The sequence below is a fragment of the Homo sapiens genome, chromosome 3, assembly GCF_000001405.40.
Source record: "Homo sapiens chromosome 3, GRCh38.p14 Primary Assembly".
In the NCBI taxonomy this organism is placed as follows: domain Eukaryota; kingdom Metazoa; phylum Chordata; class Mammalia; order Primates; family Hominidae; genus Homo; species Homo sapiens.
The window spans coordinates 167,493,841-167,512,134 of record NC_000003.12 but is presented as its reverse complement, the minus strand read 5'-3'; the positions used below and the strand labels follow the sequence as shown (position 1 = coordinate 167,512,134).

The 18,294-nt window shown below is 37.8% G+C and overlaps 1 protein-coding gene across 4 annotated transcripts in view; it reads left to right on the top strand.

The window, feature by feature from the left end:
• WDR49 (WD repeat domain 49) overlaps positions 1-18,294 on the top strand; it is a 179,240-nt gene that overhangs the window by 145,789 nt on the left and 15,157 nt on the right. For all 4 annotated transcript variants that reach the window (NM_001348951.2, NM_001366158.1, NM_001348952.2 and 1 more), the window contains 2 exons: positions 6,719-6,828; positions 11,836-11,982. In NM_001348951.2, the coding sequence (NP_001335880.1) occupies positions 6,719-6,828; positions 11,836-11,982 (257 nt within the window). The remainder of the gene's footprint in view (positions 1-6,718; positions 6,829-11,835; positions 11,983-18,294) is intronic.

Sequence of the window (18,294 nt, the reverse complement as noted above, 5' to 3'; positions counted from 1 at the left end):
TCAGGGACCCTCTTAACGAAGCACTCTATCTGTCCCTTGGTGGAATGGGTGTGCTGCCCTGGCGGGAATTCCACTCGTCTGGACTGCCTTGATTCCTCAGAGCCAGCAGAAGGAAAGGCTAAGTCTACTGAACCAGAGACCATGGCCACTGTTTCCCCCAGGGGCTCCATTCCAGAGAGATCAGAGTTCTGCCTATAAACCCCTGGCTGGAGTCACTGAAGTTACCACAGGGAGGCCCCACCCAAAGAGGAGGGATGGATCCGGGTCCCACCTAAAGAAGCAGTTGGCCACGATCTGCCACAGCCACTGTGCTGCATTGTGGGGAATTCCTCCCAGGCCAAACTGCCCAGTCTCCCCAACACCGGCAGGGGAAAACGGCTGATTGGAGCCACAGTGATGGTGACTGCCCCTCCCTCTGGGTACTTGGTTGTCTTAGGCAGTCTCCAGCATGCTGCCACTGGCTGCAACCCAAGCGTTCACCAAGAATCTGCACAGTTCTGTGCTTGGAACCCAAGGCCCTGGTGGTGATCTGATCCATGGGTTTCACAGATCGGTGGAAAAAAACATGGTTTCCCTGGGAGGTAGCTCAGTCACTCACCAATATATAGGTTTTATAGTTCACAGACTTCTCTTAAAACTGGAGCTTTGTTGTCTACCAGATTAAATAGGAGTACAGCAAACTGATCTTCTCATGTTGATTATAAGATTATATAGGCGTCGGTAGACTTCTGGGGGTGAGAGGCAAAGTTATTTCTACTGTACAGCATTTTGTAAAATGAAAAAATAACGCATCAAAAAGTACTTGTGATCTTTAAAATTTCTGTCTTAATCTAATTCAGATGAGACTGGATTGATATAATTTTAAGACTTTGTAATAATGAGATAGTATAGAAAAATGTCATTTAGGAATTAAACTAATAAAAAAAGGGTTAAAAACATATCCTCAGAATTGATTATCATGTACATCCTTCAGTTCTCCCAGGAATATGATCAGGAATCCTTTGCAGAAATTATACAAACACAATAAAATTGTCAGCTGTAGAATGTCCTTTGTGCTTTCCATCTAGTACGGAAAATATTATAAATCATTTTATTTTTAAGAAATATTCTTCCGAAGAATGTGCCCCTTTACCTAGTCAGATTGGTAAATTCAAGGAAAGAATCATGCTAGCTCTCATCCATATGAAAAAATATGAAAGAAAAATAAAAATGTGAAAGAATTTAGACTACAGGAGAAAAAGTACACTTGGTGTATATATGCAGGTGGGGGTATGTTTAGATGGGGGTTGGTGCACAGGAAGAAAGATGAAGGAAAATAGAAAAAGTCTAAAGAAAATAGAAGAAACAAGAAACATGAAGAAAAAATTAAGTGTCTTAAAGCTATTTTCTCATTTTAACACCTAAGAGTCTCTTTCCAGGTTAAAAAATTGGGGTGTATATTATCTTCTGGCTTATACAAACATACCTGGCTTTTCACAGGGCTGAAAGTATTTTATAATACTATTTGTGAGAAGTAGGTAGATGGTAAAGAGTTATCTTCAAGTTAAGTCCTGGGGAGATGAATATAGAATTTAAGAGATTAATAGAAAGGCCTAATTCTAAGTTAACAATTGATATGGAGAAATAGATTTATCCTTTTCCTAGAGTCTGCAAAACTCATACTAGCTTTAAAAAACTTCTAAAAAAATAAATAAGTGAAGGGATAAAATAGTAAAAAAAACTACAGTGGACATATATTTTTCCTAGTTTATAGGAATATTTGTTTTTTGGACTCATGTAAAATTATCTAACCTAGGAAAATTATAGATAAAATGAATAATTCAGAAAATACAGTTTCAGAATATTTCCTTATTATAAAATTAATACAGGGATTACAGGCATATGCCACCATGCCCAGCTCATTTTTGTATTTTTAGTAGAGACGGGGTTTCATCATGTTGGCCAGGCTGGTCTTGAACTCCTGACCTCGTGATCTGCCCGCCTCGGCCTCCCAAAGTGCTGGGATTATAGGCATGAGCCGCTGTGCCTGGCCAAAAATACTACATTTTTATTACGGGAAAATTTGGAAGTACAAATAAGCAAAAGGTGAAAATATCTGTGGTAAAGCCATTGTTAACATTAGGCATTTCACTTTTAAGACCTTGCTTTAGGCATACTTACAACAATGAAAAAATGTACATTTTATAAAAATAACTGTGACTTAGTAGACACAGTTTATAACCTGTTTTATCGCTCAAAAATATGCAGTAGGCACATTTTCATATTAGTTAATATGAGTATCCATGGACAACAACATTTATAATGACTTGTAGCTTTTTAACCATTTTCTTTATTTCAAATATGTAGACTGTTTACAAATTTTAACTGGGAAAACAGTTCTTTAAATACCTTCATGTGCACATATTAGAATATCTTATTGAATTCATAATTAGAATACATTCTTTGAGAGGAATTGCTGAGTCAAAAGGCATAAAGGCCTTTGGGTCATCTTGCTAAAGGTCATCTTGCTGTCTGGACATATCAGCTCTCCCTCCAGCAGCAATACAAATGGTTGCTTTCCTGCCTTCGAACCAAAAATGGTTGTTATTGCTGTCTTAAAACTGTCGCTATGATATCTTATTGCTTTAAACTAAAGTTTTTGATTATTTGTGAAAGTAAACATTTTTCAGGTTTATTAACCTTTGATAATTCAATAATAAATTTTAAAGGGGTATTCAAAGTCTACTAGACTAACTCCTATGGCATCTTTAAGAGAAACACATCCCAGCCTTTTTGAATAGTTCCTATATGACACACTCACATCTCACAGATACCCTTCTCTATTATTGAACTATTCTTAATGTCTCTAATGTTAAGTAAAATCCATCTGTAGAACTCTCACTTACTGATCTTCATTCTTATTCTAGAGCAACAAAGAGCATAAACTACTCCATTTTTTATTATCTGACACATTTTCCTTTGGTTACCATTTAAAAAATTGCTTATCTGGAAGGGATTCATTATTAGAAACAAGTATAAAGACTCAGATGAGAAATGAAACAAAAATTCTACTAGTTTCCCAGTAAGTTTATACAAGGCAGAGGGCACACCTCAAATTAATGTTTCTTAAACATGGAAAATAATTATGATGTTTTAAATTCCATGTTATTGTTAGGAGGGAACTGATATTTAATATTATTTAAATGCTATTGATTACCTAATTATTCTGTCAGTAGATTTCATGTGAGAAATTAAATTAGAAAATAGATAAATAGCTATAAGAAAAAATACACAAAATATTAAAATCCCATTTTAAATTAGGCTTTATGTGATGTAAATACTTGACGAATTGGCAGTCTACTTTCACCAACAATCTGGCAATAACTATCCTATGTCCATGTATGACAAATGAAAGCATATGATACTCTATTCAATTTTTGAAATTTGAACTTTAAAAATACTAGAACAGCAAATTGTTATTTGGGGGAGTGCCACATCTTTTTATTTTTTGTCTGATCATTCTGATAGTTCTGAAGAATATTGGAGCTTGCTGTAGGGGGGTGTTAGAACTCCCTGCTTTGAGTGAAAAATATTGTCTTGCTTTTGCTTAAAGTGATAGTAGCCAATACCAACTGAGCCCTGATTATATTTCAGGGCCTGTTCTAAGGTCTTTATGTGTTTACCTCATTTAATTCTCACTGTAATCCTAGAAGATAGCTACTATTGTCATCCCCATTTCACAACTTGAAAAACAGAGGCGGAGAAGTTAACAGATTTGCACAAGGTCAACCAACCAAGAGGTGAACTAGGGATACAAATGCAGGCATTCAGCCTCCAGAGTTAGTACTTTATCAGTGTTCTGTGTTGCCTGTCCAACAAGCATCATGTGAAAATATTGACAAATTATTGGTTTCTGAGTCAAGCCATCAAATATTTTATCAAGTACCTGCTATGTATAAGCCACTACTCTAAGCATTTTTCACTTCCTTTTTGATGCCTAGGAGGGTACTTGAGTAATTGTCACAGTCATTATACCTCCCTTCCACAGCCAGAGCCAAGAGAAGTGAGATTAGTTAGAGCCTTTCCTCCTCATAGGATTGATGCCAAAGCTGGTGGATCCCATAGTAGATCGCCTTCCTGCATCACCTACTAAGGCATTTTTGCAAAATGTTTTAAAACTCTATTTAAGCCTGGTATTACATTATTCTGCTTCTTTGTCTTCATCCATCACTTCTCCTCTTGAGAATATTTGCCTTTTTCCAGTTCCCTGTGCATTTTCAGAGTAACCACTCCTGCAAATGTCAGATGTCTGTCTGTGAAAAGGAAGCAATAGATTGTTGACTTAATTTGTTGTGATTTCCAAGAGATTCTCTCCTACCGTCTGACTACTTTTCTCCCTCTGTGGATAAAACTCTTTAGTGGAAATGGGCAAAATGTTTTGCTTTATATAAAAGCTACTTGATTTAGATTCCACAGGATGAGATAGTCAGAAAGCATATGGTCTGAAAACAGGGAAGAGTTTAGAGTGTTTTGGAAAAAAAAATCAAGATATATTGTTAACTACTCTAAAGGGAAACCTCTTTACCGTGGCCCCTGCCCCCTCAATCTTTTGCACATGTTTACATGAATAATTCTTTTCTAGAAAAAGGTGTATTCTTAATCCAATAACTGCAAGGCCTAACTGTACCACACTCCATGCTTTCAGTATCCAACACCAACTTCTTATTTTTGTAGATCCCCTTACTATCTTAAAATACCTCTCTAAGGATATCATTATTTCTTGTCTTGAAAGCCTAAATAGTGGCTAAATACTAATTCTTACTCACATGAGATGGCTTATGGAGAGGGATGTCATTCCAGTGCAATTGGGGAAAAACTGCCCACCTATCCAATGACAAAGCTCTCCTAAAAGAAAAAAAAATCTGTAATTCCAAGTAATTTATGTTAATACTCTCCTGATTCAAGGAAATCATGATTAACTACCCCCCCATCCCCTCTTAAATGTGCATTGTGCTTGAAAACTTGCTTCCAAAGAGTAACATATGGAAAAAGGGAAAAAGTAACTGTACAGTAGCTATTGTAAACATTACTAAAAACTTGGCACATACAACTGTGGCCAGGTAATTGAGGTTAACATCAACCATGGAAGTCAGTTTGATAGCATGCACCCTTGGTTTGATGCAATAAGAGCAGCAGTTCACCTCTGTTGCTTTCCTCTCAACAACTCATAACCCCAGTCTCACCATGAGAAGAATATCAGACAAACCCAAACTGAGGGATATTCTACCAAAAAAATCCAACAAGTATTTCTTAAAACTATCAAGATCATAATAAACAAGAAAAATCGTCACAGGCCAGAGGCTAAGGAGTTAGACAACAAAATATAATGTTGACGTTACAGAAAAATCACATTAAGAAAAAACTAGTAAAACTCTAATAAAATATGGAATTCAGTTAATAGTACTGTACCAATATTGATTTCTTTATTGTGACAAATGGTAGTGTAAGATGTTATAATAGGGAAAATTGGCTGAGGGATATACTGGAGCTCTACTAACTTTTCTGCAAATCTAAAACCTCTAAAAGGAAAAGTTTATATATGAGAAAGAAATTAATACATTACTACTTAAAGCCATGCAAATAGCATTTGATATTAAGTTTAAGAGAGATACACAGACTTTTTACTTGTATTGATATTTTAAAATCTTTTAAAATTGGAAGATACGGTAAAAATAGAGTGGAGGAAAAAGAAAGCTGGAAATGAACATTACTTGAATGCTATTATTTATTAGGCACATTTCTGAACTTTCATCCATCTTATCTCCTTTAAATCCACAGCAAGAGTCCCATTACATTGAGGGGAAAATTGAGGCTGAAAGTATGGGAAACAACTCAGAGTCTTATAGCTACAAAATCCATAGAAGATATAAGAATAAAAGTTAGGGAGTGGAAGAATGGTTAACTATAAAGGGCTGAGGGATGCAGGGAAGGGAGGCAGAAGGAAGAGGGTGAGTCAAGATCCCCAGGACTCTCCACGATTTTGAGACGATGGATGTGTTTTCTGGCTTGGTGCTCTGAAGATACTAATAACAATTTTTGGAAACATAACTTGTAGCTGTTAAGGTTGAAGTCTATGACAGTGAATTTTAAATAGATTTGAGATCATTTTCTATTTTCTCACAAGATTATATACAGCTATGTAATGATTTTATTTCCCATGTTTTATTGATAAAAATCCTTTCTGTGAATTCAAGTTACGCTAAAATTTTCTTATAGATTCATATGAGAAAGCCTCAGAAATACTGAACTTCTTTGCATTTTGGATGCCATAACCATAAAGATACACGCCTAACACTGAATAAATAAGCTTTGACACAAAGGATTGATGCTTACTTCTCATTATATAATTTATTAATAAGGCAAGGATAATGTACGTGTTTCTGTAAAATTTTCTTCTAAATAATTTTTTCTCTAACCTTGTTGCTATGGGGACAGGGCTTTGCTTAATTAGACTCTTGGACACTCTGGCTCTCACTCTTTTCTATTATCACCTGGCTAGCAGGCATTTTGTTAAAAGATAGGGCTTGATTAGTATAAACAAATATCACTACTTCGGTTCACAGGAATAGATTTTTTGTTTTTGTTTTTGTTTTTTTTGGTCAAAGATACACATAGCCAGAAAGAGTTTCTCCATCCCTGTGGTTAATAATGTATTTCATCATGAAATATTTTCTTCCAGTGTCAGACCATCAGAAGATATAAATTTAGATATAAAATATAAGGAAAGAAGTACCTGCATGAAAGAAACACAAAAACCTTATTATGGTGAAGTTATAAAAAAATCATTCAGTAAGTAGTCACTGTTGTTAATGTATTTTTATAATATTATTTAACAGATTAGTGTGAATACAAATGTCTACTCTGTGTGTCAGGAATGTTCCTATTCCTTAATAAACATGAATGTAATGTTCTGTGAACCCCATTTAACAAAGGAGAAAAGTGAGGTACAGGACATTAAGTCACCTGTCCAAGGCTCCACAGAATACTAGCGGAAAAAGTGTAAGGTCTTAGTCAGTGTATTGGACCACTCTTGCATTGCTATAAAAAAATGCCAGAAACTGTATAATTTATTTAAAAAGAAAAAGGTTTAATTGGCTCACAGTTCTGCAGGCTGTACAGGAACCATAATGTTGGTATCTGCTTGGTGGAAGGTGAAGCAATAGCAAGCACATCACAGGGTGACAGCAGGAGCAAGAGGGAGTGGGGGAGGTGCTACACACTTTCAACAGCCAGATCTCTGTGGACTTGCTACCATGAGGAGAGCACCAAGCCGTGAGGGATCCACCCTCATGACCTGAACACCTCTCACCAGGCCCCGTCTCCAACACTGGGGATTACATTTCAACATGAGATTTGGGTAGGGACAAATATCCAGGCTATATCATTCCATCCCTGGCACCTCCAAATCTCATGTCCTTCTCCCATTGAAAAATAAAACCATTCCTCCCAATAGTCCTCCAAAGTCTTAACTCATTCCAGCATTAACTTAAAAGTACAAAGTTCAAAGTTCTCATCTGAAACAAGGTAAGCTGCTTCCACCTATAAGCCTGTAAAATAAAAAAGTCATTTACTTTCAAGATAAAATGGGGGCATAGGCATTGGATAAACATTTTCATTCTAAAAGGAGAAACTGGCCAAAAGAAAGGGGCTCTAGGCTCCAGGCAAGTCTGAAATTCAGCAAGGCAGTCATTACGTCTTAAAGCTCCAAAATAATCTCCTTTGATTCCATGCGCACATCCAGGGCACAGTGGCACCAGGGGTGGGCTGCCAAGGTCTTGCACAGATTTGCCCCTGTGTCTCTGCAGGGTACAGCCCTTGTGGTTGTTCTCATGGGTTAGAGTTGAGTGCCTGTAGCTTCTTCAGGCACAGGATGCAAGCTGCCAGTGAATCTACCATTCTCAAGTATGGAGAACAGTGGCCCTCTTTACAGAGCTCCACTAGGCAGTGCCCCAGTGGGGACTCTGCATGAGACCTCCAACCCCACATTTCCCCTCTACTAGTGAGAGACAGGACTAGCTGGATTTCCTAGGCCGACTAACAATCCCTAAGCCTAGCTGGGAAGGTGACCGCTTCCACCTTTAAACATGGGGCTTGCAACTTAGCTCACACCTGACCAATCAGAGAGCTCACTAAAATGCTAATTAGGCAAAAACAGGAGGTAAAGAAATAGCCAATCATCTATTGCCTGAGAGCACAGCGGGAGGGACAAGCATCGGGATATAAACCCAGGCATTCGAGCCGGCAACGGCAACCACCTTTGGGTCCCCTCCCTTTGTATGGGAGCTCTGCTTTCACTCTATTAAATCTTGCAACTGCACTCTTCTGGTCCATGTTTGTTATGGCTCGGGCTGAGCTTTCAGTCGCCCTCCACCACTGCTGCTGGCCACCTTCACAGACCCACCGCTGACTTCCATCCCTCTGGATCTGGCAGGGTGTCTGCTGTGCTCCTGATCCAGCAAGGCACTCATTGCTGCTCCCGATCGGGCTAAAGGCTTGCCATTGTTCCTGCACGGCTAAGTGCCCTGGTTCGTCCTAATTGAGCTGAACACTAGTCACTGGGTTCCATGGTTCTCTTCCATGACCCACGGCTTCTAATAGAGCTATAACACTCACCGCATGGCCCATTCCTTGGAATCCGTGAGGCCAAGAACCCCAGGTCAGACAACAAGAGGCTTACCACCATCTTGGAAGTGGCCCACCGCCATTTTGGAAGCAGCCCGCCACCATCTTGGGAGCTCTGGGAGCAAGGACACCCCAGTAACACTAGCACTGTGGTAGCAGATATTCTCTGTGAGGGCTATGCCCTGCTGCAGGTTTCTTGCTGGGCACCCAGGATTTCTCTTGCATCCTCTGAAATCGAGGTGAGATTGTCAAGCCTCCTTCACTCTTGCACTCTGTGTACCTGCAGGCTTAACACCACGTGGAAGCCACCAAAGCTATGGCTTACACACTCTGGAGTGGCTGCCTGAGTTGTATCTGGGGCCCTTTGAGCCACAGCTGGAGCTGGAGCTGCACGGATATGGAGAACAGTGGTGTATTCCTTCTATGCCTGTGGGCCTGTGATGGGAGGGGCTGTCTAGAAGGCCTTCAAGGCCTTTTTTCTGTTGTCTTGGATATTAGCTCTTGGCTCTCTTTTAGTTATACAGATCTCTTTAGCAAGTGGTTGCTCCACAGCCTGCTTGAATTTCTCTCTTGATAATGCTTTTTTTAAATTTGTTTGTTTGCCACATGACTGGGCTGCAAATTTCCTAAACATTTATACTCTGCTTTTTCTTTAAATATAATTTCCACCTTTATTTCTTGCTCCCATATCTAAGCTAGGCTATTAGAAGCAGCCAGGGAACATCTTGAGTGCTCTGCTGTGTAGAAATTTCTTCTGCTAGATACCCTAAATTATCACTGTTAAGTTCAAACTTCCACAGATGCCTAGAGCATGAACACAATGCAGCTAAGGTCTTTGGTAAGGCATAATATGGGTGACCTTTGCTCCAGTTCCCAGTAAGTTCCTCATTTCCATCTGAGACTTTGTCAGCCTGTACTTCACTGTCCACATCACTATCAGGACTTTGGCTACTACCATTTAACCAGTCTCTAAGAATTTCCAAAATTCCCCTCATCTTCCTGTCTTCTGAGTCCTCCAAACTCTTCCAACGTCTGCCCATTAGCCAGTTCCAAAGCCACTTGCACGTTTTCAGGTATCTTTATAGCAATGCCCCACTCTTGTTACCAATTTTCTGTGTCAGGCCATTTTTGCATTGCCGTAAAGAAATGTCTGATATTGGGTAATTTATAAAGAAAAGGGGTTTAATTGGATCACGGTTCTGCAGGCTGTTCAGGTATGGCACCAACATTTGCCCACCTTCTGGTGAGGGCCTCAGAAACCTTACAGTGGTGGTGGAAGGTGAAGGGGAAGCAGGCAACATCACATGGTGAGAGTAGGAGCAAGCTGGGGGTGGTGCCACACACGTTTAAACCATCAGATCTTGTGAGAACCCACTCACTATTGCAAAAACAGCACCAAGGGAATGGCACCAAACAATTCATGAAAAATATGTGCCCATAATCCAGTCATCTTCTACCAGGCCCCATCTCCAATGCTGGGGATTACAATTCCACATGAGATTCAGAGGGGACAAATATCCTTACTATATTAGTCAGAAAATATGTGTGAAGTACCTGATACAGTTCTAAAAAAAGAGATGGCACCAGAATTTTTATTCTTTCCCTTAAGTATTTAAGAAATGAAGATGAATAAAAACTATTTTTGCTCGTCAGAAATCCTGAAGCCACACAGAACAATGCATTAGTCTAGTTGTTGACGGACCAGAAAACAATTAAAGACCAGTAACCTAAAACAAAGGAGTCATTATTATACTAAGGTATATTGCTTAGAAACAGATAAGAATCCTTCCTGAAGCTTTATTTTATAATGAAAATATGTTACTTACTACAAATATCTTTTCAACTTATGTCCAAGGGAATGTCACACTTTCATAGAGCAGATATGTTGATTTTTAAATTTCTGATGAAATTTTGCTGTAAAAATGGTGCATAATTATTTGTTAACATTCAATGCCCATTTATCAACTAATCTACTCCACGGAGTTTTTGTTAGGATTACACGAGATAGATATGTAAAGCACTTTGACTACTGCCTGGCATATTATAGCAACCAATACAATCTTATTAGTAATGTTGTTATTGTTATACCTTGGAGCATAACCTTTGGGATTAAACATATTTCAACTTAAGTCCATGATCTGCTATTTAACAGTTATATGAACTGAGACACAAATTACTAACGCATCCTAAGCCTCAGTTTCCTCATCTGTCTTAATGGCACGATACCTTACATGTTGTGAAGATTTCTTCTCTAATTTGACATAGCACATTAGTTTTCAAAGAGTGGTCCCTGGCCTAGCACCGTAAGCATCAACTAGAACTTATTAGAAATGTAAATTATGAGACCCTCATCCCTGCTTTCCTCCATTAGTCAGAAGCCAAGGGGGTCACATAGCAGTCTATGTTTTAGTAAGCCCTCCAGATGATTCTGATGCCTGTTGTAGTTTGAAATCCACTGACATAGAACCTGACTTGTTCCATAGCAGGTGCTGAATACGGATTAGTTTCCTTTTCTTAGGTACTGAGTCACCATCGTGACAAAAACCCAGTTCCTACCTTCACAGAACTAACAAAGAAACATAAAATTTTATCCCAAATAGATTTCCATTCTATTATCCAATTACTACATGAAGCAAAGAGAAATATCTTTTACTTTGTTCAAGACTTTGCCTTTAAGAGCATGATTAAAATAGATTCCTATCATCTCATTGTGTGCATAATAAATACAATAACGCAGCTCTGGTTTACTTGATGACATTATTTAAAAAGTACCTGCCAATTCAAAATTTTAGATGTGTTGTTAAACTAAACACTGAAAAAAATAGATTCCATTTCACAAAAGATACAATTTTCTTGTAGATAAAAGAAAAACTGGAGCTTTTCCAAAACTGCAGAATATTCATTTTCAAGGGAAAATAGCAGAAAAATACAAAATAAAAAAAAATGAATGGGAAGCCTTGAGTTCCTCTTGGTTCCTTTGAATAAAAAGCACTATGGATTTATTTTGAACAGCTGTGTTTGTAGGGTTTGCAGATCACTGCAGCTGTACCAGCTGAGTAACAGGAAGGTTAAATTTATAAAAGTTAACTTGGAAATGTGCTGGCTCTTTCCAAGGAGTTAATGATATTGTACCCTTTTTCTCCCTGTCTTCCTCTAAAACCTGCTGTTGTGAAGGTACATTTAGGTCATTAAACATTGGAGCCCTGGAAGAGCTGCCTGAAGTGAATAAACCTGCTTTCCTTCTAGACCCTGAGAAATACTTTAGGAAAGAACCAGAGGAAGAGCGTCCCCAAATTCTGGAGGCCCCGTCACTTTTTAAAAGTAAGTTCTCAGCCATCATACACCTCTATTATCCCTCTTCAGGAAACTTAGTCATTTAAAAATAGAGTAGAAGAGCATGAAAATAACAAGTGTTTGTCTTGTAGTTTGCAGTGAAACAAAGTGTGGTTTGACTGTTAAGATTTATAGTTCAGCTGCTGAAGTGTGCTCTCAGATAGGAGAGCCAACAGGCTGGGATATATGAAATGAATATTTTTATTTTGTTCCTTTTCTGAAGTTAGAATGCCATGAACATGTATCTATGAATCTTCCGTGGATGAGAATCTCTCTCCCCAAATAACCTTAATTTTCAAAACTGATGCTGGAGGAAGCCATCATAAGACCACTTTAGAACACAGTGTCTGGCAATCTTGTTTTATTTTCATGTGAAACACTCTAAATAGAGACGACTTAAAATGTATTGTCTTAAAGTCTTCCAGCTGCAGTGGTAGGCTGGTGTGGTGAGAAGACAAGAAAGCTTAAGTTAGAAACTATAAGTGAATGATCCCTAAAGATATAGAAACAAGATGTACAAAATAATTCTTTATTTTTCAGACTATTATAGTCTTCAGAGTTCTTAAAAGTTTGAGGAATAATTCTGTAGAAAAATTCTTCCAGCAAAGAGGGGTCCTGTGAAAGAACAGGTAACACAACCTGATTCTCAGTGAAGCACTCAGAAAGCACATGGACACTGCAGGGGAAGCTCATTTAAAATAATTAATAAAAAGTTTAAGTTTTCAACTTGTAACAATCAGAAAAAATCAGAATTAAATGAAGCTATCTGAGATCTGTGGTTTCAAAACTTCTAAAATCCTCTGAGCTGGGGTTCAACATCATCCTTGAGAAATAATAATGTTTGCAGTAGAAAGATGTTTCCTTATGTCCACAGTTAGGGGAGTTTAAGAGTCTCCTCTTTGCTTTGTCTCTTATGGAAAGGGAGAACAGCTGGTCAACATTTTTGTTGTTGTTGAAATTCTACTTATAGGCAAGGTACAGCTGTCATACTTCATTACCATAGTTTACAGTCTAATTATTATCAGGTTTTGTTTTTTTTATTTTAAAAAACATTTTCTTAGAATTTCTCTTTGCTTGCTCTTGTGAGGGCAATCTATGGTTTCTACTCATTTCTCTTAAAAACGAAGCCATAACTTTAGGGCTCTTTTGGGGGCTCAGAAAATGATACTCCAAAATATGCCACTTTGGCATGTTGAGTGCTTTGAACAAAGTGGATTGAAAGGCCTCGGAACCAGTCTCTCTCTTACCTTCTCCTGCTGTCTACCCCACTTTTCCTTTCAAAGTTCAGGGAGGGCTCTCTCTGAAATTCCCTTATCTGACTGAGGAGGGTTCTTCCTAAAGAAATGCAACTGTATTGAACCCCCTCTCTAGGAATCTCATCAAACAACCAGGAAATGTTATTTATCAGAGGAGAAATTAAAAGTCATTACCACACCTAAACAGGCTATTGCCTATTTCTCTGGAGGGTGCTCTAAAATAACTCTTTTTTAACCTAAGAGACTACCTGCATAATAAGACAACCTTTGTTCACAGTGCAGTTCTACCCCTCACCTTTTAAAACTTGTCATCACCTCCCCCAGAGCACAGAGAAACTTTGTCCCAGGCTATTTTCTGTTCCTTGGACTCATTCATTTCCTTTAGAAAGTATTTACTCTTCCTCTAAAATTGGCTACCCCTCTCACCCTCCCCCCTCCACCCTGCCATTTGCCATTTCCCTCTTCTCTGTGAATAGGGTATTTAAGCTCCAACCCTCAGGCCCTTCTTTGAGTCTCATATTTTGTGGGGTTTTCATACATATGTGTACATTAATACATTTGTATATTATTCCCTGTTAATCTTCATATTTTCAATTTACTTCAATAAGCTCAATTGCCCAACCTCCAGAGGGAAGGTTTAAACTTCTCTACAGCTCTAAATAACTCTTAGTGTGTCTGATAAGGATTTCAGTCTGTCATCCCATCACTTTTCACCAGGATGATTCACCTTTAAGAATGAAATGGGGGCTGGGCGCGGTGGCTCATGCCCGTAATCCCAGCACATTGGGAGACCGAGGCAGGTGGATCAAGAGGTCAGGAGATTGAGGCCATCCTGGCCAACATGGTGAAACTCTGTTTCTACTAAAATACAAAAAATTAGCCAGGCATGGTAGCACGTGCCTGTTTTCCCAGCTACACAGGAGGCTGAGGCAGGGGAATCTCTTGAACTCGGAAGGTGGAGGCCGAAATTGTGCCACTGCACTAGCCTGTTGAAAAAAAAAAAAAAAAAGAATGAATATGGGAAGTACTTATCTTGTCTTTGTGAGCCACAAACAGACATGAAACAGGAATGACCAGTAAAAAAAGATCCAGACATAGGACAAAGTTGTAAAGATAGTCCAGATACAGGGTAGGCATTCAGGAGGAAACCAAGACAGAAAATGGATTCAGAATTGAGGCAAGATGAAGAGGAGACAGAGAATATGCAAAAGCTGGAGAGGAAAGAAGCAAAAGAGACAGGTAAATAATGAGAGCAGCAAACACCTCTCTTCAGTGGTGAGAGTTCCTGCTTCTATGAAGAATCTTTTATATAATCTGTGGCAGAAGGAAGCCACAGATGAATTCTTCATATGGGCAGGGAAAAAGTGTGGGCAAAGAGGTGGGGTTAATGGCTGGGCAGAAATAACCAAAATACCTAAAAGACTCTAATAAATTCTCAAAGAGAATTTTTTCCCCTGGATTTCTTATTAAAATTTCCTGTAACTTCCCCAAAGTTTTTAAAAGATGTTTTCTTTCTTTTGGTTTTTTATTTTCTTTCTTCAATTTTTCTTCCTTTACTTCCCTGTTTTGAAAATATTTCCTCTTACTTGCCCTTTCTGCAAGTGAAAATAATTTTCTTTTAAAAGCTTCACCAACTTGTGAGAGAAAAAGATGCAAATTATTGATGACTACTTGCGAGAGAAAATGATGCAAATTATTGATGACATATGACACCACCAATGAGGTTCCATGAAAATGCCAGGAAAAAAGTTCGATTCATTCTGGCTGGAGCATAGGAAAGAATTCAGTCACATTTGAGCTGGGACTTAAAGGATGAGTAGGAGGTCAAAGGTGAGGGAGAAAACAAGGAAATAGTGAGGAAGGACATATCAAGGTTGAGGAAGGAGCAGAAGTCAAAATGAACCCAAGTTGGCTACAATGAATGACTTCAGATATTGAGACATTAACTGAGTTTTACATTTACCTCTCGTTAGTAGAGGTAAAGTCAAATGTGTTTGGAATGTGTTAAGTTTGGGGTACTGATGCACCATTTACAAATAAAGTTCTGGAGGACTGAAGCAGATTGTATATACACTCTGTGATATCATAGAGTCTTTGACAAGCAGATACTGAAATAATGTTTGTTCATTTTTGTATTTAGCTTTTCCTAGGATAGATATTACATATAGTAGCATTTGTGCTGGATGCTAAAGACGCAGAGATAATATGTAGATACCTAGCCTTCAGAGATCTTGACATTGAAGTGGGGAAATAGATAAGTAGACAAATAATTATATTCTACAACGAGGGCTATGGTAGAGATAAGTACTGCATCCTATGGGAACACATGAAAATTCAGAGATGACTTTTCAGGGAAACCAGAGTATACCCGAGCTAGATGTTAAAAGTTAAGTTGCTATGAGCCAGGTTAAAAAAAAAAAATAGCGGGGGATGATACTCTGGTAGAGGAGTGGTATAAGCAGCTCTAAGGTGGTATGAATAATATGGTGTGCTAAGAAAGCTACATGTAGTTCCCACTGGCTGGGTTCTAGAAGGAGCATGAAGAAAATGAGGCTAGACAGGTAGGTGGGGGCCAGACCACAGACCATCTAGTAAACTATGCTAAGGACTCGGCATTTATTTAATCAGAAATAGGGAGCTATTGAAATATTTTAATCAATCATTCTGAATTATATAATTTTATATCCTATATTACCTCTTCAATGTTCATATTTATTTGTATTATTCTTAAAGTGATTGTTCTAGAAGTTACAATGCTCTTTCTTGTGCTCTTTATTCCTTCTTATGGCACTAGACTTTCATCTGAGACCATTTTCCTTCAGTCTGAAGAATTTTCTACAGAATTTCTTAAAATATGGGCCTGCTTGTGAATAATTTTCCCAGCTTTTACATGTCTGAAAAATGCATTTATTTCATTTTGACTCTGAAAGGATTTTTCATTGGATTTGAAGCTCTAGATGTCAGGGTTGTTTTGTTGCTTTTTTTTTTTTTTTTTTTTTTTCAAATTTTTAAAGTTAACTTATTTCCCTGCATCCATAGTTCCTGTTTAAAATCCTGCTCTTAATGTTATTGATGCATCTTATTCTGGCTGCTTTTAAAATACTTCTCTTTAGCCTTGGTTTTCAGATGTTTTACTGTGATGAGTCTAAGTACTGTTTTTTTTGTGTGTGTATTTATGCTACTTGGAGTTCATAGAAATTTATCAAATGCATCTTTTTTCAATTTTGAATACTTCTCAGCCATTATCTTTTTTCAAATTATGTTTTATTCTCATTCCTGCTCTCTTCTGTTATGGAATAGCAATTACACATATGTTAGACTGTTTAATTATATCACAAATGTTTTTGATGCTCTTTTAATAAGTGGAATTAAATAATGGAATAAATAAAATGGAAAAACATTTTATTTCCTTAGGTTGGCTTCAGTTTGTATATTTTATATTGACCAGTCTGCTTTTAAGCCCATCTAATCAGTTCCCAGTTTCAGATTATATATGTATGTATATCTGAAATTATATATATACACACATATTTATATACTTTCAGTTTTAGAATGCCACTTGAATCTCTTTTATACAGATTCTAGTTCTCAGTTAAATTTTTCTCATCCATTTTGTTCATCTTTTCCCTCTGTTTTTGAAACATGTTTATAATGGTAATTTTTAAAGTCTTGGTTGACTAACTCCAAAATCTGGATAATCCCTGGGTCTGCTTCTAATATATATATTTTTCCTCTTGGTTTTTAGTCTCATTTTTCCTGCTTCTCTGCAAGTCCTATAATTTTTTATTGTATGACAGAAAATTTAAAAGATCTATAGACACTGAAATTAATATTCTTTTCTGTCAGCAATGGTTCACTCTTTTCCTTAATTCGGCAGAGAGAATGAGACACTGATGACCTTAATCTAATTAGTACTTGAGCCGGGTCAGTGCTGAGGTACAGATTTAGTTAGGCTTAGTCCACTTCTGATTTCAAATGTCTGCTTTAGGCTTCTCCTTTTAGTGGGGTATTGTCTCCCACGTACTGCAAAACTGCAGAAAACATTACTCTGCATTTTCAGTCCAATCCACAGTCTCCCACACCACCCCAGGGCTCAGAGAATGTCCTATGGGAAAGACTGGCCAAAGCTGTGACATTTCTCTAGATTCCAATACATCACACCAACCCACATAGCCATCAAAACACTTCCAAATTTACTTTCCCATGAGAGAGTCTCTCAGTCGAATGCAGGTCTGTTTCTTAGCAATGCCAAAACATAATAAATCCCCAGAAAGAAGAAAATACTTGGCAATTTTAGCTCATCTAGGAAGGGCCCTACCATCTCTGGAATTTAGTTATTTTGGTCATCACTGCTTCCACGGCCTTCTGATGGCTTTAAACATATCATTTGTAATTTATCTGTTTTTTTTTTTCCTATCTGGTGCAGTGAGAATGATAACCTGCAACTACCTATTAAATCCTATCCAGAAAGAAAATTCCTGTTGAAATGTTTAAAACAAGAAAGTGTCATGACCAGATTTGCATTTTAGAAAGCGTTCTGAAAACTGCGGTAGATGCCTTATAATGGGGCTAGACTGAAGGCAGCAATATTATAGTAATGGGAACTTGCTGTGTGCAGTCAGCTCTCTGCTTTTGAATCATCACTTCGCCTTCTACTATTTGTTTATATCTGAATAAATTATTCACCCTATTCAGTCTCAGTTTATTTTTCATCTGTAAAATTGGGATAATGATGCCTGCCTCTTGGAGTTATGTGGGTTAATTATAGCACAATAGCTAGCACACTAACCATTCACTAGATGATGTCTATTATGATTTTGAAGATAAGGAAAACCTAGAAAGGAAATAACTAATTTGAGAGATATTAAGGAGTTTGAATTTAAAGGATTATGTGCCCAATAAGAGATGAATACATGTATGCCGATCAGTCTTCTAGTTTGGATATCTATGTTGAGGTAAAAAGACTATCATTTAGAGAGGAAATACAGACGAAGATGGGATAGAGTTAGAAAATGACATTAGTTTCTAAGATATGTTGAGATGG